Here is a 16,442-nt window from a genome sequence, read left to right on the forward strand (position 1 = left end):
CAGAACACTGCCTCGAGGGTGTGAATGCTTGTCCGTAACACAGGATTCCAGAACACTCTAACTGTTGTTTGAATGTTTGTCCCTCAAATAGGATTCCAGAACAGTGCTGCTGGGGTCTACATGCATGTCCGTCAGAGAGGATACCAGAACACTGATGCTCGGTTCTGAGTGTTTCTCCCTCACATCGAATTCTAGCACACTGTGACCAGTTTCTGAATGTTTTTCTGTAACATGGGATTCTAGAACACTCCCGCTGTTATTTGAATGTTTGTCCCTCACATAGGATTCCAGAACACTGCTATGAGTGTCTGAATGTTTGTCCCTCACTTAAGATTCCAGAACACTGCTATGAGGGTCTGAATGTTTTTCCCTCACATAGGAATCCAGAACACCGTTACGAGGGTCGGATTGTTCGTTCCTCTCAGGGGATTCCTGAACACTCCTGCTGTGGTCTGAATGATTGTCTGTCAAACAGGATTCCAGGACACTGCTACGAGGGTCTGAATGTTTGTCCCTCACACAGAATTCCAGAACACTGCTACGTGGGTCTGAATGATTGTCCCTCACGTAGGATTCCAGAACACTGCCATGAGGGTCTTAATGTTTGCTCCTCACTTAGGACTCCAGAACATTCCTGCTGTGGTCTGAATGTTTCTCCCCCACATAGGATTCCTGAACACTGCTATGAGGGTCTGGATGTTTGTCCCTCACATAGGATTCCAAAACATTCCTGCTGTGTTCCGAGTGTTTGTCCCTCACATACGATTCCAGAACAATCCTGCTGTGGTCCGAATGTTTGTCCCTCACATGCGGTTCCAGAGCACAGCTGCTGGGTTCTGAGTGTTTCTCCCTCACATAGAATTCCAGAACACTGCGACGAGTTTCTGAACGTTTGTCCATAACATTGGATTCCAAAACACTCTTGCTGTTGTTTGAATGTTTGTCCGTCACACAGGATTCCAGAATACTGCTGCTGGGGTCTGAATGTTTGTCCCTTACGAAAGATTCTAGAACACTGCTATGATTGTCTGAATGTTTGTCTCTAATACAGGGTCCCAGAACACTGTGACGAGTGTCTGAATGTTTGTCCATAATATAGGTTTCCAGAACACAGCTGCTGTTGTTTGTTTTTCCCTCACAGGATTCCAGAACAATACTGCAATTGTATGAGCGTTTGTCCCTCACATTGGATTCCAGAACACTGCTTCGAGGTTCTGAATGTTTGTCCCTCACACTGAATTACAGAACACAGCTGGTGGGGTGGAAATGTTTGTCCGTCACATAGGATTCCAGGACAGTGCCACGAGGGTCTGAAAGTTTGTTCCTCACAGGGGATTCCAGATCACTCCCGATGTGTCTGAATGTTTGTCCCTCACACAGGATTGCATAACACTGCTATGATGGTCTGAATGATTGTCACTCAAGCAGAATTCCAGAACACTGCTACTAGGTCTGAATGACTTTCCCTCACATAGGATTCCAGAACATTGCTGCTGGTTTCTGAATGTTTGTCCTTCACATAAGATTCCAGAACACTGCTGCTGGTGTCTACATGTATGTCTGTCACATAGAATTCCAGAACACTGCTGCTGGGTTCTGAGCATTTCTCCCTCATGCAGAATTCCAGAACACTACAACGAGGTTCTGAATGTTTGCCCATAACACAGGATTCCAGAACACTCCCGCTGTTGTTTGAATGTTTGTCACTCACATAGGATTCCAGAACACTAACACGAGGGTCTGAATGTTTGTTCCTCACATAGGATTCCAGAACACTGCTACAAGGGTTTGAATGTTTGTTCTTCGTTGGGGATTCCAGAACACTCCTGCTCTGGTATGAATGTTTATCCCTCACATAGAATTCCAGAACACTGCTATGAGGGTCTGAATTTTTTGTCCCTCACACAGAATTCCCCAACACTGCTATGAGGGTCTGAATAATTGCCCTACCATAGGGTTCCAGAACACTGCTGCTGGGGTCCAAATTATTGTCCCTCAGATAGGATTCCAGAACATGCTGATGGGGTCTACATGTATTGCCGTCACATAGGATTCCAGAACACTGCTGCTAGATTCTGCATTTTGCTCCCTCACATAGAATTCCAGAAGAGTGCGACGAGGGTCTGAATGTTTTTTCATATCATAGGATTCCAGAACACTCCTGCTGTTGTTTGAATGTTTGTTCCTCACACAGGATTCCACAACACAGCTAAAAATGTCTGAAAGTTTGTCCCTCAGATAGGATTCCAGAACACTGCGGCTGTGGTCTGAATGTTTGTCCCTCACATAGGATTCCAGAACACTGCTATGATTGTCTGAATGTTTGTCCCTCACATAGCATTCCAGACCACTGCTACAAGGGTCTAAAGGCTTGTTCCTCACAAAGGATTCCAGAGCACACCTGCTGTGGTCTGATTGTTTGTTCCTCACATAGGATTCCTGAACACTGCTGCTAGGGTCTGAATGTTGGCCTTCACATAGGATTCCAGAACCCTGATACGATTGTCTGAATGTTTGTCCCTCACACAGCACTACAGAACACTGCTACGAGGGTCTGAATGTTTGTTCCTCACATGGGATTCCAGAACACTGCTATGATTGTCTGAATGTTTGTTCCTCACATAGGTTTCCAGAAAACTTCTGCTATGGTCTGAAAGTTTATCCCTCACATAGGATTCCAGAACACTGCTACGAGGGTCTGAATGTTTGTCCCTTCACATAGGATTACAGAACGCTGCTGCTGTTGTCCAAACATCTCTCTGTCACATAGGGTTCCAGAACACTGCAACATGTGTCTGAATGTTTTCCCTCACATAGGATTCCAGAACACTCTCATTGTTGTTTGAATGTTTGTTCCTCACATAGGATTCCAGAACACTGCTGCTGGGGTCTGAATGATTGTTCCTCACATAGGATTCCAGAACACTGCTGCTGGGTTCTGAGTGTTTCTCCCTCACGTAGATTTCCAGAAAACAGGGACGAGGGTCTGAATGTTTGTCCATAACAGAGGATTTCAGGACACTCTCGCTGTTGTTTGAAAGTTTGTCCCTCTCTAACGGGGACAAATTTTGTGTCTCTATTTCCTTCAGTTATGCTCTGATTTTAGTTATTTCTTGCCTTCTGCTAGCTTTTGAATGTGTTTGCTCTTGCTTTTCTAGTTCTTTTAATTGTGATGTTAGGGTGTCAATCTTGGATCTTTCCTGCATTCTCTTGTGGGCATTTAGTGCTATAAATTTCCCTCTACACACTGCTTTAAATGTGTCCCAGAGATTCTGGTATGTTGTGTCTTTGTTCTCGTTGGTTTCAAAGAACATCTTTATTTCTGCCTTCATTTCGTTATGTACCCAGTAGTCATTCAGGAGGAGGTTTTTCAATTTCCATGTAGTTGAGCGGTTTTGAGTGAGTTTCTTAATCCTGAGTTCTAGTTTGATTGCACTGTGGTCTGAGAGACAGTTTGTTATAATTTCTGTTCTTTTACATTTGCTGAGGAGTGCTTTACTTCCAACTATGTGGTCAATTTTGGAATAGGTGTGGTGTGGTGTTGAAAAAAATGTGTATTCTGTTGATTTGGGGTGGAGAGTTCTGTAGATGTCTATTATGTCTGCTTGGTGCAGAGCTGAGTTCAATTCCTGGGTATCCTTGTTAATTTTCTGTCTCGTTGATTTGTCCAATGTTGAGAGTGGGGTGTTAAAGTCTCCCATTATTATTGTGTGGGAGTCTAAGTCTCTTTGTAGGTCACTCAGGACTTGCTTTATGAATCTGGGTGCTCCTGTATTGGATGCATATATATTTAGGATAGTGAGCTCTTCTTGTTGAATTGATCCCTTTACCATTATGTAATGGCCTTCTTTGTCTCTTTTGAACTTTGTTGGTTTAAAGTCTGTTTTATCAGAGACTAGGATTGCAAACCCTGCCTTTTTTCGTTTTCCATTTTCTTGGTAGATCTTCCTCCATCCCTTTATTTTGAGCCTAAACCCTAGAAGGAAACCTGGTCAATACCATTCAGGATATAGTCATGGGCAAGGACTTCATGTCTTAAACACCAAAAGTAATGGCAACAAAAACCAAAATTGGGCCGGGCGCGGTGGCTCACGCCTGTAATCCCAGCACTTTGGGAGGCTGAGGCGGGCGGATCACGAGGTCAGGAGATCGAGACCATCCCGGCTAAAACGGTGAAACCCCGTCTCTACTAAAAATACAAAAAATTAGCCGGGCGTAGTGGCGGGCGCCTGTAGTCCCACCTACTTGGGAGGCTGAGGCAGGAGAATGGCGTGAACCCGGGAGGCGGAGCTTGCAGTGAGCCGAGATCCCGCCACTGCACTCCAGCCTGGGCGACAGAGCGAGACTCCGTCTCAAAAAAAAAAAAAAAAAAAAAAAAAAAAAACAAAACAAAAAAAAAACCAAAATTGACAAATGGGATCTCATTAAACTAAAGAGCTTCTGCACAGCAAAAGAAACTACCATCAGAGTGAACAGGCAACCTATAAAATGGGTGAAAATTTTTGCAACCTACTCATCTGACAAAGGGCTAATATCCAGAATCTACAATGAACTCAAACAAATTGACAAGAAAAAAACAAACAACCCCATCAAAAAGTGGGTGAAGGACATGAACAGACACTTCTCAAAAGAAGACATTTATGCAGCCAAAAAACACATGAAAAGATGCTCATCATCACTGGCCATCAGAGAAATGCAAATCAAAACCACAATGAGATACCATCTCACACCAGTTATAACGGCGATCATTAAAAAGTCAGGAAACAACAGGTGCTGGAGAGGATGTGGAGAAATAGGAACACTTTTACACTGTTGGTGGGACTGTAAAGTAGTTCAACCATTGTGAAAGTCACTGTGGTGATTCCTCAGGGATCTAGAACTAGAAATACCATTTGACCCAGCCATCCCATTACTGGGTATATACCCAAAGGATTATAAATCATGCTGCTATAAAGACACAAGCACACGTATGTTTATTGTGGCACTATTCACAATAGCAAAGACTTGGAACCAACCCAAATGTCCAACAACGATAGACTGGATTAAGAAAATGTGGCACATATACACCATGGAATACTATGCAGCCATAAAAAGTTATGAGTTCATGTGCTTTGTAGGGACATGGATGAAACTGGAAACCATCATTCTCAGCAAACTATCACAAGGAGAAAAAACCAAACACCTCATGTTCTCACTCATAGGTGGGAATTGAACAATGAGAACACATGGACACAGGAAGGGGAACATCACACACCAGGGACTGTTGTGGGTTGGGGGAAGGGGACAGGGATAGCATTAGGAGATATACCTAATGCTAAATGACGAGTTAATGAGTGCAGCACACCAATATGGCACATGTATACATATGTAACAAACCTTCACGTTGTGCACATGTACCCTAAAACTTAAAGTATAATAATAATATAATAAAATAAAAATAAAAAAAGAGAGGAAGTAAGCCATCCTGTTTCCTAATGAGAAAGCATTCCAGGCAAAGGGGACCACACATGCAAAGGCCCTGATGCAGAAGCACATCTGCCTGGTGTCTTTGAAGATTGCAGTAATACAGGGGAGACTGATTGGACTAGACATCAGAGAAGTGTCAGGGGACAAGATGGTTTAAAACATTCCTAGCCATGGAAGATTTTAAGCAGATGAAAACATTATTTTCCTTATGCTTTAAAAAGACTTACTCTGAATCACCTGAGGTCAGGAGTTCGAGACCTGCCTGGCCAACATGGCAAAACCCCATCTCCATTAAAAACACAAAAATTAGCCAGGCTTGGTGGTGCATGCCTGTAGTCCCAGCTACTTGGGAGGCTGAGGCAGGAGAATCACTTGAACCCAGGAGGTAGAGGTTGTAGTGAACCCAGATTGCACCACTGCACTCCAGCCTGGGCGACAGAGACTCTGTCTCAAAAAAAATAAAATAAAGACTTACTCTGGTTGCTCAGTGAAGAACAAAGTACAGGGAGAAAGAGAAAGTAGGAGAGGAGTTAGGAGGCTATTTTGGTAATCTATGAAAACAATGACGTAAAGTGAAGCAGGTTGTACACAATGGGTGTGACAAGGGAAGCTCAGATTCTTAATACAGTTCAACAGTGTATGCTGATATGAGGTGCAAGAAACAAAGAGGGGTCAAGGCAAGTTTTCTGGCCTAATGGCTGGTACGCTGGAGGTGCTATTTACTGAGATGGAGATGACCGAGGAGTGTTGGGCCCAGGGGTTGAAGGTGGAGGATCAAGATTTCCCTTATGGATGTGTGATAGTTGAGTTGTCTATTAGTCTTCCAATTGGTGATAATTGGTAGATAATTAGATATGAGTCTAAATTTTAGAGGAGAGGTAGGAGCTGGAAATATGTGTTCATGGACCATGCACATATACATAGAATTTAATGCCATTGGGCTTCATGAGATCACAGAAGCATGAGTGCACCTAGAAAAACGGTTGAGAACTGAGACCTGGGATACTCCCTTGTTAAAAGGTAAATGTTCCTTCTACATTTTGAATTTATAGAAATAATGACACAGTAGCCAGTTGCTGAAACACTACCCAGTTCAGAGTAACAAAATTCCTATTTTATCAAATCACTGAATGCCATTTAAAATTCAGAATACTTGCAGTGATCCCAAATATCGTCATAAAGATGAAAGCCTAAGTTCACATTGGTGACCTAGCCTCTGCCTTCCTGATCGTCTATTTAAAAATAACAATAATGATAATAATAAGAAGAAATATTCATGGATCACTAGATATGTTGAAATACACTCAAAGGTAGATTAATTTCTGTTCTACTATACCCTTGTAACTATCAGTCTATAAAATAGTTTTATTAGAAAGGCACAGTCACCCTCAAGCCAATAGCAGCTTACAAATACGGGGCAAGGAGCCTGGTGTGGAGAGGCTGATAAATAATTGAGAAAACTAGTAGATATGAAGCTAACAAATAAAACTGTCAACCAGAATGAGGCAGATAAGCCAGACGCAGTGCAAGTGGCCGGTCAAGACAGGTAGACAGACAGAAGCCAGGAGTGAGAGACGGGAGGTCCAAAGTGCAATAAAACACTCAAGCACCAGTCAATCCATGGGAGCTTACAGCGGGGTGGCGGATGAAGGGGGGAGCATCCAGGTAGAGGGGAAGGAATGGAGGTGTGAACGGGAGGCAGGAGGGCACAAGCTATTTGATATGTTTGGAGAGTTAGGTGCTTTTTTGAGGCTGAGAAATAACTGGAAGCCAGAATCTGGAGGACTGGGTAGACCATGTTAAACAGCAAGCACTTGATTCTACACGTGTTGGACGCCAGTGCAGGGCTTCTAAGCAAGGCAGTGACATGATCACATCACATTTTAGGAAGGGTATAAATTAGGCATGGCCACAGGCAGGAAGACCTGAGGGATCTCATACAGTCAGGGATAAGAGTCTAAACGACAAGGTAGCCATGAACATTCAAAGAAAGAAGACTGAAGAGACTTTAGAGGGCAGTCCCCATGGGACCTGAGTGAAGGGGTTTGGGAGATTCACAGCTTTCTGCTGTGAAGTCAAGGATATCACAAACTATCGGAATAAAAGAAACAGTCCTATGGCTGGGGGTAGGTGGATGAATGTGGTTCCATTTTGAACAAGAGGAGAAAATTCAGGTAATTCATTTGGATTGATTAAGCAAAAGAATTTGAAGCTGAACATTATAGAAGCAACAACAATTCTTATGATATTGGGGTATAGGAAACAGGCCCAAGAAAGCACAATATTTCCTGTTTCTCTTCTGATTCAATAAATAATATTTTCTGTTAAGGCTTTTGATAACTTGTTTTAATTAATCAAAAGGAGACAAGACAAATTTGAACTTAAAAGAATAAGAAAAGCAGTTGTCTTTTTAGAAAAGGTGAGTCAGTATTTCCTATCATCTTAAATCATCCTTCAAATAATGGGCTATGAAACAAATGAGATCCTACTAATCTAGTCTTTTCCTTGATAGATTAAAAACTGGATCTCTTCGTTACACCTTATACAAAAATGAATTCAAGATGGATTAAAGACTTAAATGTTAGACCTAAAACCATAAAAACCCTAGAAGAAAACCTAGGCATTACCATTCAGGACATAGGCATGGGCAAGGACTTCATGTCTAAAACACCAAAAGCAATGGCAACAAAAGACAAAATTGACAAATGGGATCTCATTAAACTAAAGAGCTTCTGCACAGCAAAAGAAACTACCATCAGAGTGAACAGGCAAACTACAAAATGGGAGAAAATTTTCACAACCTACTCATCTGACAAAGGGCTAATATCCAGAATCTACAATGAACTCAAACAAATTTACAAGAAAAAAACAAACAACCCCATCAAAAAGTGGGCGAAGGACATGAACAGACACTTCTCAAAAGAAGACATTTATGCAGCCAAAAAACACATGAAAAAATGCTCACCATCACTGGCCATCAGAGAAATGCAAATCAAAACCACAATGAGATACCATCTCACACCAGTTAGAATGGCAATCGTTAAAAAGTCAGGAAACAACAGGTGCTGGAGAGGATGTGGAGAAATAGGAACACTTTTACACTGTTGGTGGGTCTGTAAACAAGTTCAACCATTGTGGAAGTCAGTGTGGAGATTCCTCAGGGATCTAGAACTGGAAATAAGATTTGACCCAGCCATCCCATTACTGGGTATATACCCAAAGGACTATAAATCATGTGGCTATAAAGACACATGCACACGTATGTTTATTGCGGCACTATTCCCAATAGCAAAGACTTGGAACCAACCCAAATGTCCAACAATGATAGACTGGATTAAGAAAATGTGGCACATATACACCATGGAATACTATGCAGCCATAAAAAATGATGAGTTCATGTCCTTTGCAGGGAAATGGATGAAATTGGAAATCATCATTCTCAGTAAACTATCGCAAGAACAAAAAACCAAATACCGCATGTTCTCACTCATAGGTGGGAATTGAACAATGAGATCACATGGACACAGGAAGGGGAATATCACACTCTGGGGACTGTTGTGGGGTGGGGGGAGGGGAGAGGGATAGCATTGGGAGATATACCTAATGCTAGATGACGAGTTAGTTGGTGCAGCGCAGCAGCATGTCACATGTATACATATGTAACTAACCTGCACAATGTGCACATGTACCCTAAAACATAAAGTATAATAATAAAAAAAAGAAAGAGAAAGTGAAAAAAAATAAATAAAATAAAGTGGATGAGTTAAAAAAAAAAAACTGTACCAAAATCTTACTATATTGCAAAGACACTAATTCACTCAATTGAGAATCCACAGTATACAAACATATAAATCAAGGGAATTTTAAAACCAATCATTGTGTTCAAAATGGGAAGATTATTCAAAATTTTGTCTACATATTTTAGAATAATTTCACAGCTAAAAACCCTGTACTTTATAAAATCATCATCCAGTATTTAATAAAGTGTGTCTATAACAATGTCAACATTGGAATTTAACAGTTTACAAAGCACTTTTGATACATCACATTTAAATGAAGGTAGCAACGAGTTCAGTACATTCACGCAGATTCAAAAACAGTAGTTTTTGAAGATTGCATTTGTTCATGTATGTCAGAAGGTTTGAACTATTTCCTACGCCTGCTATAGGTTTAAGCCTAAGAATTGTTATTCATTATATTTGGTCTTTAAATAAATCACGAAGGTAGAGGGTAGAGCACACCCCATGAATGCACTGAGGTGCTGTAAGTCTCCAACGCCAGAGGCGGCAGGTTGGAATTTAGTTCAATCACGCATTTGTTATGAGAACTCTGACAAGCTTCAGCTCTAATGTAAGCTTGGAAACACAAAGAAACTCTGCAAAAAATACTAAACACAGACACACACACACTCACTCCTCTCTTTTAAGACTGGCATAGAAGATGTAAGTGTACCAACAAGCAACCTCCAAAGAGCAAATGAAACAGAAAATTCAAACGAGTGCCTGGTAGGAGTTGTAACTTCAGCAAAGTGCCTCTCATTTCTGCCTCATAAACCCGTACTCATTTTTCACAACTAACTCACATAGCACCTCCTCAGTGACACCTTTCCTGTTCTGCCCACCAGATATACCTGCAGACCTAGTGTATCCTCTCGCCCAGAACACAGGGCATCTTAGACAGGGGGCTGTATCTACAGGGGGGTCTATGCTTTGACAGGAACTGTGAACCTATGGGCAGCGGATTTTCAATTCATGTTTGTGGCTCTCATTACAAATGTCCTGCCTCAGGCACCCAGCAGGTGGTAATAAATGCTGATTGAACACTAAAACCTTGGAATGCTACATCATTATTCTTAAGGATAATCATTTTTTAAAACATTTTGGAAGTTCTTTTGAAACTGACTTTTTAGATTATGAAAATATCTCAGTGATAGGTTTTGGTTTTCCAAGTTAGACATTATTTTAATTTAGAAACTTTCAAAGTTATACAAAACAAAGCATGTGCCTCTGTGCATTTTGTTTTCTGTCCTTCCTTAATGCTAAGGAAGTGTTTCTTCGCTTTTATAGGCCAATGCTCCACAAATGAATGTGTTAACGAAAGAACAAATTAATAAATGACATGAATGAAAGCTCAAACTGCATAAAAGTATATTTACTTAAAAATGAGAGGTGACGATTGCTAACATGTCATAATCATACTCTGTCCTGACCTCGGCAAGCCACAACTTTGACAATAAAGAGGAAAGAGGATCCAGTCCCTAAATACCGCAGGTTCACTAAGACCTTCCGACGTGCCCGAAGAAGATACACTTGCAGAGGAGAAATGATGATGCAGAGGCCTGCTCTGAGATGCAGGAGGAAGTCTAATTGCCTGTGAATTTGACTGGGATGGAAGGGATGAAACGAGGTTTGAAAGGAAATAGAGATTGTTAAATTCCTGACTAGGCAATAACTGCCGTCCTTCTCTTCTATCTGCCCCTGTGACTAGGCGATAACTGCCGTCCTTCTCTTCTATCTGCCCCTGTGACTAGGCGATAACTGCCATCCTTCTCTTCTATCTGCCCCTGTGACTAGGCGATAACTGCCGTCCTTCTCTTCTATCTGCCCCTACCTTGGGCCCCAAATGACTCAGCACTAAAGTGCCTTGAGCAGGCTCCAGTCCAAAAGTGGCCTCTATGGGCACCACCTCCTGCTCTGCTGCCCTGCCTCGCTTTCCTCCTCGGCCTTCCCGGATGAATGACAGATGTCATTCCCAGGTTCCCTAACACTCAAGTCTAGCCCCTCAGTTTCTAGCAAGCATCAAGCTTCACTGTATGTCTAGCCTCTCAGGAGTCAGACCTCAGAAGTACAGCTTGGTGTAAATTCAGAGGCAGGGAAGAAAGAAGGAAAGCAGACCCTGAGCTGGGTTCATACACATCATCGCAATTCATCCACACCGCAGTCCTGTGAGTTATGTGCCACTGTACTCAGAAAACTGAGGCTCAAAGAGATTGAGCAACTTATCTAAGACCTCACAGGTCCTGAGAGCAGACCCTGGATTTCAAACACCTGGAAGACTCTGAAATCCATGTTAGCTCTTCTATACATGGGCCCAAAATGCAGCTGTACACCAGCAAGACTGACTTCCTCTTGTGGCTTATCACTATCTCTGAACACAAGAATCCTCAAAATGCTTTATAACCAACAGTAGCATCATGGGAATAAGTTGGCAAGTTCCCAGCATTACTGCTTTAGATGCACTTGAACTTTTTCTCCATGTATAGAGTCAAGAATAAGAAAAAAGGATCCAAAGGAGGACAGAAATAAAATGGGACTGAGCCTTATAATTCTTGACCAGAACAGATAATGTTGGGATTTTCCTTACTTTTTTTTCCAGACAAATCCAATAAAGACATCTGTTTCTGTTACCTAAAACCAACTAGAAAAGTTTGCTCCCTCCCACCTTAAGCGGCTTTGTATAGAGCCCACAGTTGAACATTGGCTCCTACAGCAAAGATTGATTTCAAAGTTTTTATAGTATTATTCAAAGCACGTTTGATTTCAGCCTTGGCAACCAGGGGCAGGATATCAGCAATGCTCCCTGTATTAGCTATTGGAGAGAAAACACTGTGAAACTCTAAGACCTTGGTTATTGGGCCAATGAAACATTTATGCCCTGATCAGATGAAGCAAAACTTCGGCAGGGTTAGTGAGCCACCTTCCGAGTGTACCAATGAAGCTCTTGCCTGCTGTTTCAGATAAATGACTCTCATTTCACTGTTGGCTTGTGCTTGAGAAGGTTATACAATTGATTCCAGTTGTTTGCAATGCCTTGAAGGCAAATAACGTTGTAGCATCCACTGTCCTCATAATACGCTGTTTCTTTTCTAAGGAAGGTTGTTGTCTTAATATCCTAGATAACAACAGAAAATATTCCACTTCTTATCATATATTAATTTTGCTCTGGAATAAGTACATGTAACTACCAGAATGCTAATGAGGATGTTACACTGATGTTTATTTGTGTGTTCTAATCTGTAGATAAACAGCAAGGTCTCTTTTAATTCATGATTCCAAGTCTCAGGCCACAGCAGGACAAGTATCAAAACATCTACTCTTAATTCGGAGTTGAGATTTCTAATAAGAATTCTATTTTCTCCATAATCATAAAATAGCACCAGGAAAAGTCAATATCTTAAAATACAGATCATTGAAAAGTAGATCTTTCTGCCCTTAACATAAACAAGCTGTAAAATCTGAAGTTAAAATTATTCCTTGTACCAACCTCCGAATTTACCCAGAGTTAACAGAAAAGTTATAGCAGTGCATGAAGCTCTGAGGTTTTGATGGGTGTAGATATAGACATCCAAAGCTGTCATTTCACACTAGTCAGAATACCAGTCATAGAAATCCCACAGGAAAAATCATTTCTGAAGGTATCTGGTCTTATGGATTATAAAATTAAACTTTCTTATCATTGTACCTAAACCAAAATATGCTTCCTATACAAAGAAGTTTTCTTTCAAGAGTTAAGACCACCTCCCGACATCCCCCTTAACACACACACACACACACACACACACACACAGAGAGAGAGAGAGAGAGAGAGAATTGAGAGCATTAGTGGCTTTCTCCCTTAGACTGATTTTTTCTTACTGTTATTTTCAGCCACTTTGTTAACAGTGGAGTTAAAGGGCAGGATAGATGTAACACCCATTTCACATACATGTTGCAACATCAGAGATGCTGGTTTTCATTAAAAACACCAGTTCTAAATTCCTTCTAAAATATATTTTTAAAAATCAGTACACTTGGCACCTTGGAAATGCTGAAATGTTATCATGAATGGTGGTTACTAGTTATGAGTCAACTGAATATTATCTTCAATATAAACTATAATATTCTGGTCTGAACACTCTTCCTATCTTATCTGTATATACTCAAAGGGAGCAATTTCTCATGTTTAGCAAATTGTTCTTCAGGTAATTTGTTCTTTAGGTTTTTTGTACAAAAGTACAAAATAGTTATCACAGCAAACTTTCCAGTGTTTTTTATTTTGAAGCTATATATTTTGGAGGGAACTTGGTTTTCTTTTTATTTTTATTTTTTGCCATGTCAGGCTTGAGCAGGATAGCAAATATATAAATTGAGCTCTCTAATTATAATCTCAATATATGAATTCTTGCTAATTAAAATACTTTGCACCAGCAAAAACAATTTCCACATATGTGTTTAGGTGGTAGTTAAGTAACTCCATATAAAAATAAGTGCACTTTCCCCTCCTTTCTTCAGTGACTAGAAAACTTCCATACTTTTAAAATAATCAAATAATAATTTAGAGAGCAACAGCTCTCAACTCTTTGCTGGTGCTTATCACACTGCCTTTCTTCACTCCATTCTTAGCTCTGCTAATTCCTTCTTGTCTGTAATGATAATAAGGGAATGTGGGTGGGTCAGCACTTCTGTGTAGGTCCCCTTTCCAAATTTGTCTTCCAAAAAGCCAACCAAATAAACAACCAAAAAATCGTGCAACAAAACACAAATAGCATTCCAACAGCTTGGCAAGTGATGCATTCACCTGAGATTAAGTGGTTTTAGGCTGTCAGTAACAAAATTCTGCTTTACTGTCTTATTAGAAAGGCAACAAATTCTTCAAAGAAACCAAGAAGTTTACAACCTTGACAAAGTCTCTCATTACCTTCCTCCTCTTATGTCTTTTCTCTTCACATTATCTGTTGTGTATCTACTATAGAAGGCTGCAAAACATACAGCAGAAATGATGGCTTGAAGGCAATTGATGTTTGTAAATAAATACACAACAGGATCCAAGCTGAAGAGGTGAACACATCAGCCGGGTGGGACAATTCTCAGCATGGGCAAACATAGAAAAATTCTAGCCTATGTTACATTAAAAACAATGTCAGTGCATTTTTTCATGTTAAAGAGTTGTTCAAAGCTAAAGCATGTTCCTTGCTATGCTGACCACAAACAAGTTTTAAGAGTTTCGGAAGTCTGGCAAAAATAGAAACAAACAAACAAAAAAAAAAAAACTGAAGCAACATTAAACCGCACAATGTAAGCATTGGGCATGCACAAATTTTCAAAACAAAGGAAGGAAATCATCCCTCTCTACAACGTGGTTAGGCTGATTTTTATGAAATAAAATGTAAGAAATCAGAAAAGCAAAGGTTAGGCACCTACATATCCAATATCTGGCACCGCGCAGAGTAGAAGAGTGAAAGAAATAATGAAGAACAAAGTGGTTACTTTGCTTCAGGAGTTCATGATCTATAGTTAGAAACCAATATAAGCATTTTGAGTATATTTCAAAGAAAGAGCAAAAGCAGGCCGGGTGTGGTGGCTTGCACCTGCAGTAATAACACTTTGGGAGGCCAAGGTGGGAAGATTGCTTGAGCTCATGAGTTTGATACCAGCCTGAGAAATATAGTAAAACCTCATCTCTATAAAAAATTAATTAAAAAAAGGCAGAGCAAAAACAAATATGAAAGAAAACATTAGAAATCAGAGCTTGGGCAAAGAGTTCAACGTGAGCAAAGCAGCTCTGCCCTGGGGGACCTCTGGAGCATCCCAGCTTCCTGTAGAGGCCCCACCACATGGCCCTTTCCCATCACTGGGAACCATCTTCTGTATCATGCCAGGATTTTCCCCCAAACTTCTCAACCTAATTTATTCAGCCAAAACTTATATATTTCTTGAATCTTTACTAAGAGCAAGGCACTGTTCAACATAATGAAAATATGGCAATGATTTAAAACAAAAATGTTTACCCTCATGCAAATTATATTCCAGTGAGAAAAGACAGATCATTAATAAAATAACTATGGAAAATATATAATATGCCAGAAGGTAATAAGTGGCACAGAGAAAAATTAAGTGTGGAAGGGAGCTCAGGAATGCTGGGAGCGGGTAGATGTGAAGGTAGTTAGAATGCTCAAGGAGGGAGTAATAGGCAGAAGAATGGCCTTTCTACATGTCCATATCCCTATATGGCAAAAAGGACCTGTGGATGTGATGAAGTTATGGATCATGAGATGAGGAGATTATTCTGGATTACCCAGGTTGGCCCAATGTCATCACAAGAGTACTTAAAAGCAAAAGAGGGAGGCAGGAGAGTCTGAGGCAAGACGCATGACAGCTAGGGTCAGAATGATGTGGTTGCTGCCTGGAAGGGGGCCAGGGGCCAAGGGATGCAGGCATCCTTTCAAAGCTGGAGAAGGTAAGAAAGTGTTCTCTCTCCCCTAGAGAGAGTGTGTGTTCTCTTAGGCTACTAGAGGTGTGCTAATTTATTCCAGCAATCATAGAAAACTTATATAGAAGGTCTCACAGAGAAGATAACATTTGAACAAAGATTCCAAGGAGGTGAGGGCACCAGCTATGCAGATATCTGGGGAAGAGCACTCGAAGAAGAAAAGGCAGGCAAACAGCAGGGTGCGTAGCCCATGTGCATGAAGTAGAGAATACTGGGAGTCAGAAGGCTAACAGGAGACAGGTCAGAGAGAGGGACTGGGGTGGGTCAACTCACACTCAGCCTCACTGGCTATTGTTAGAACTTTGAGTTATTCTGAGACACTGAGTATAGGAGAGTCTATGAATATTTATAGAAATTCTGAACGTTTACAGGATGAATAAAAGTTGTATGCTAGTAAACCTATTGGTTGGGTGGGGAGAAGCCCAGATTTGTAGCATTTGCTAATTTCCATTGTGTAAATATTTCTACTGATGGTTTGACAAACACTTCACAAAATTTCTGGGTACTTAATTATCAGCTCCAGTAGAGTGCTGCATGTATGACACCCCATTTGCCAATTCCACACTAGATTCTATTGGGAACAAGCTGTATGAGAGTCAACTGGTGGCAGAAATAAGGAAGTCCTCAATAAAAATCAGCATTTACTTTTGACAGATGTGAGATTCTGGAACTTATTTCTCTTTACTTGCTCTGCCTGGTGATTAAATTATGATTTTAAAAGAAATAGT

General features: G+C 40.8%; 1 non-coding gene across 1 annotated transcript, besides 1 other annotated feature; it reads right to left on the minus strand.

The window, feature by feature from the left end:
• Window positions 1-511: 511 nt before the first annotated feature.
• Window positions 512-594, minus strand: MIR1299 (microRNA 1299). The gene has a single exon (NR_031629.1). It is a non-coding gene; the product is annotated as a microRNA 1299 (primary transcript).
• Window positions 11,488-11,688: a silencer, noted in NCBI's record as "peak7256 fragment used in MPRA reporter construct". NCBI's record gives its function as "represses an SCP1 promoter by STARR-seq MPRAs in K562 erythroleukemia cells {active_cell/tissue: K562}" and the evidence as "EXISTENCE:reporter gene assay evidence [ECO:0000049][PMID:32103011]".

This window comes from Homo sapiens, chromosome 9, assembly GCF_000001405.40.
Source record: "Homo sapiens chromosome 9, GRCh38.p14 Primary Assembly".
Lineage (NCBI taxonomy): Eukaryota > Metazoa > Chordata > Mammalia > Primates > Hominidae > Homo > Homo sapiens.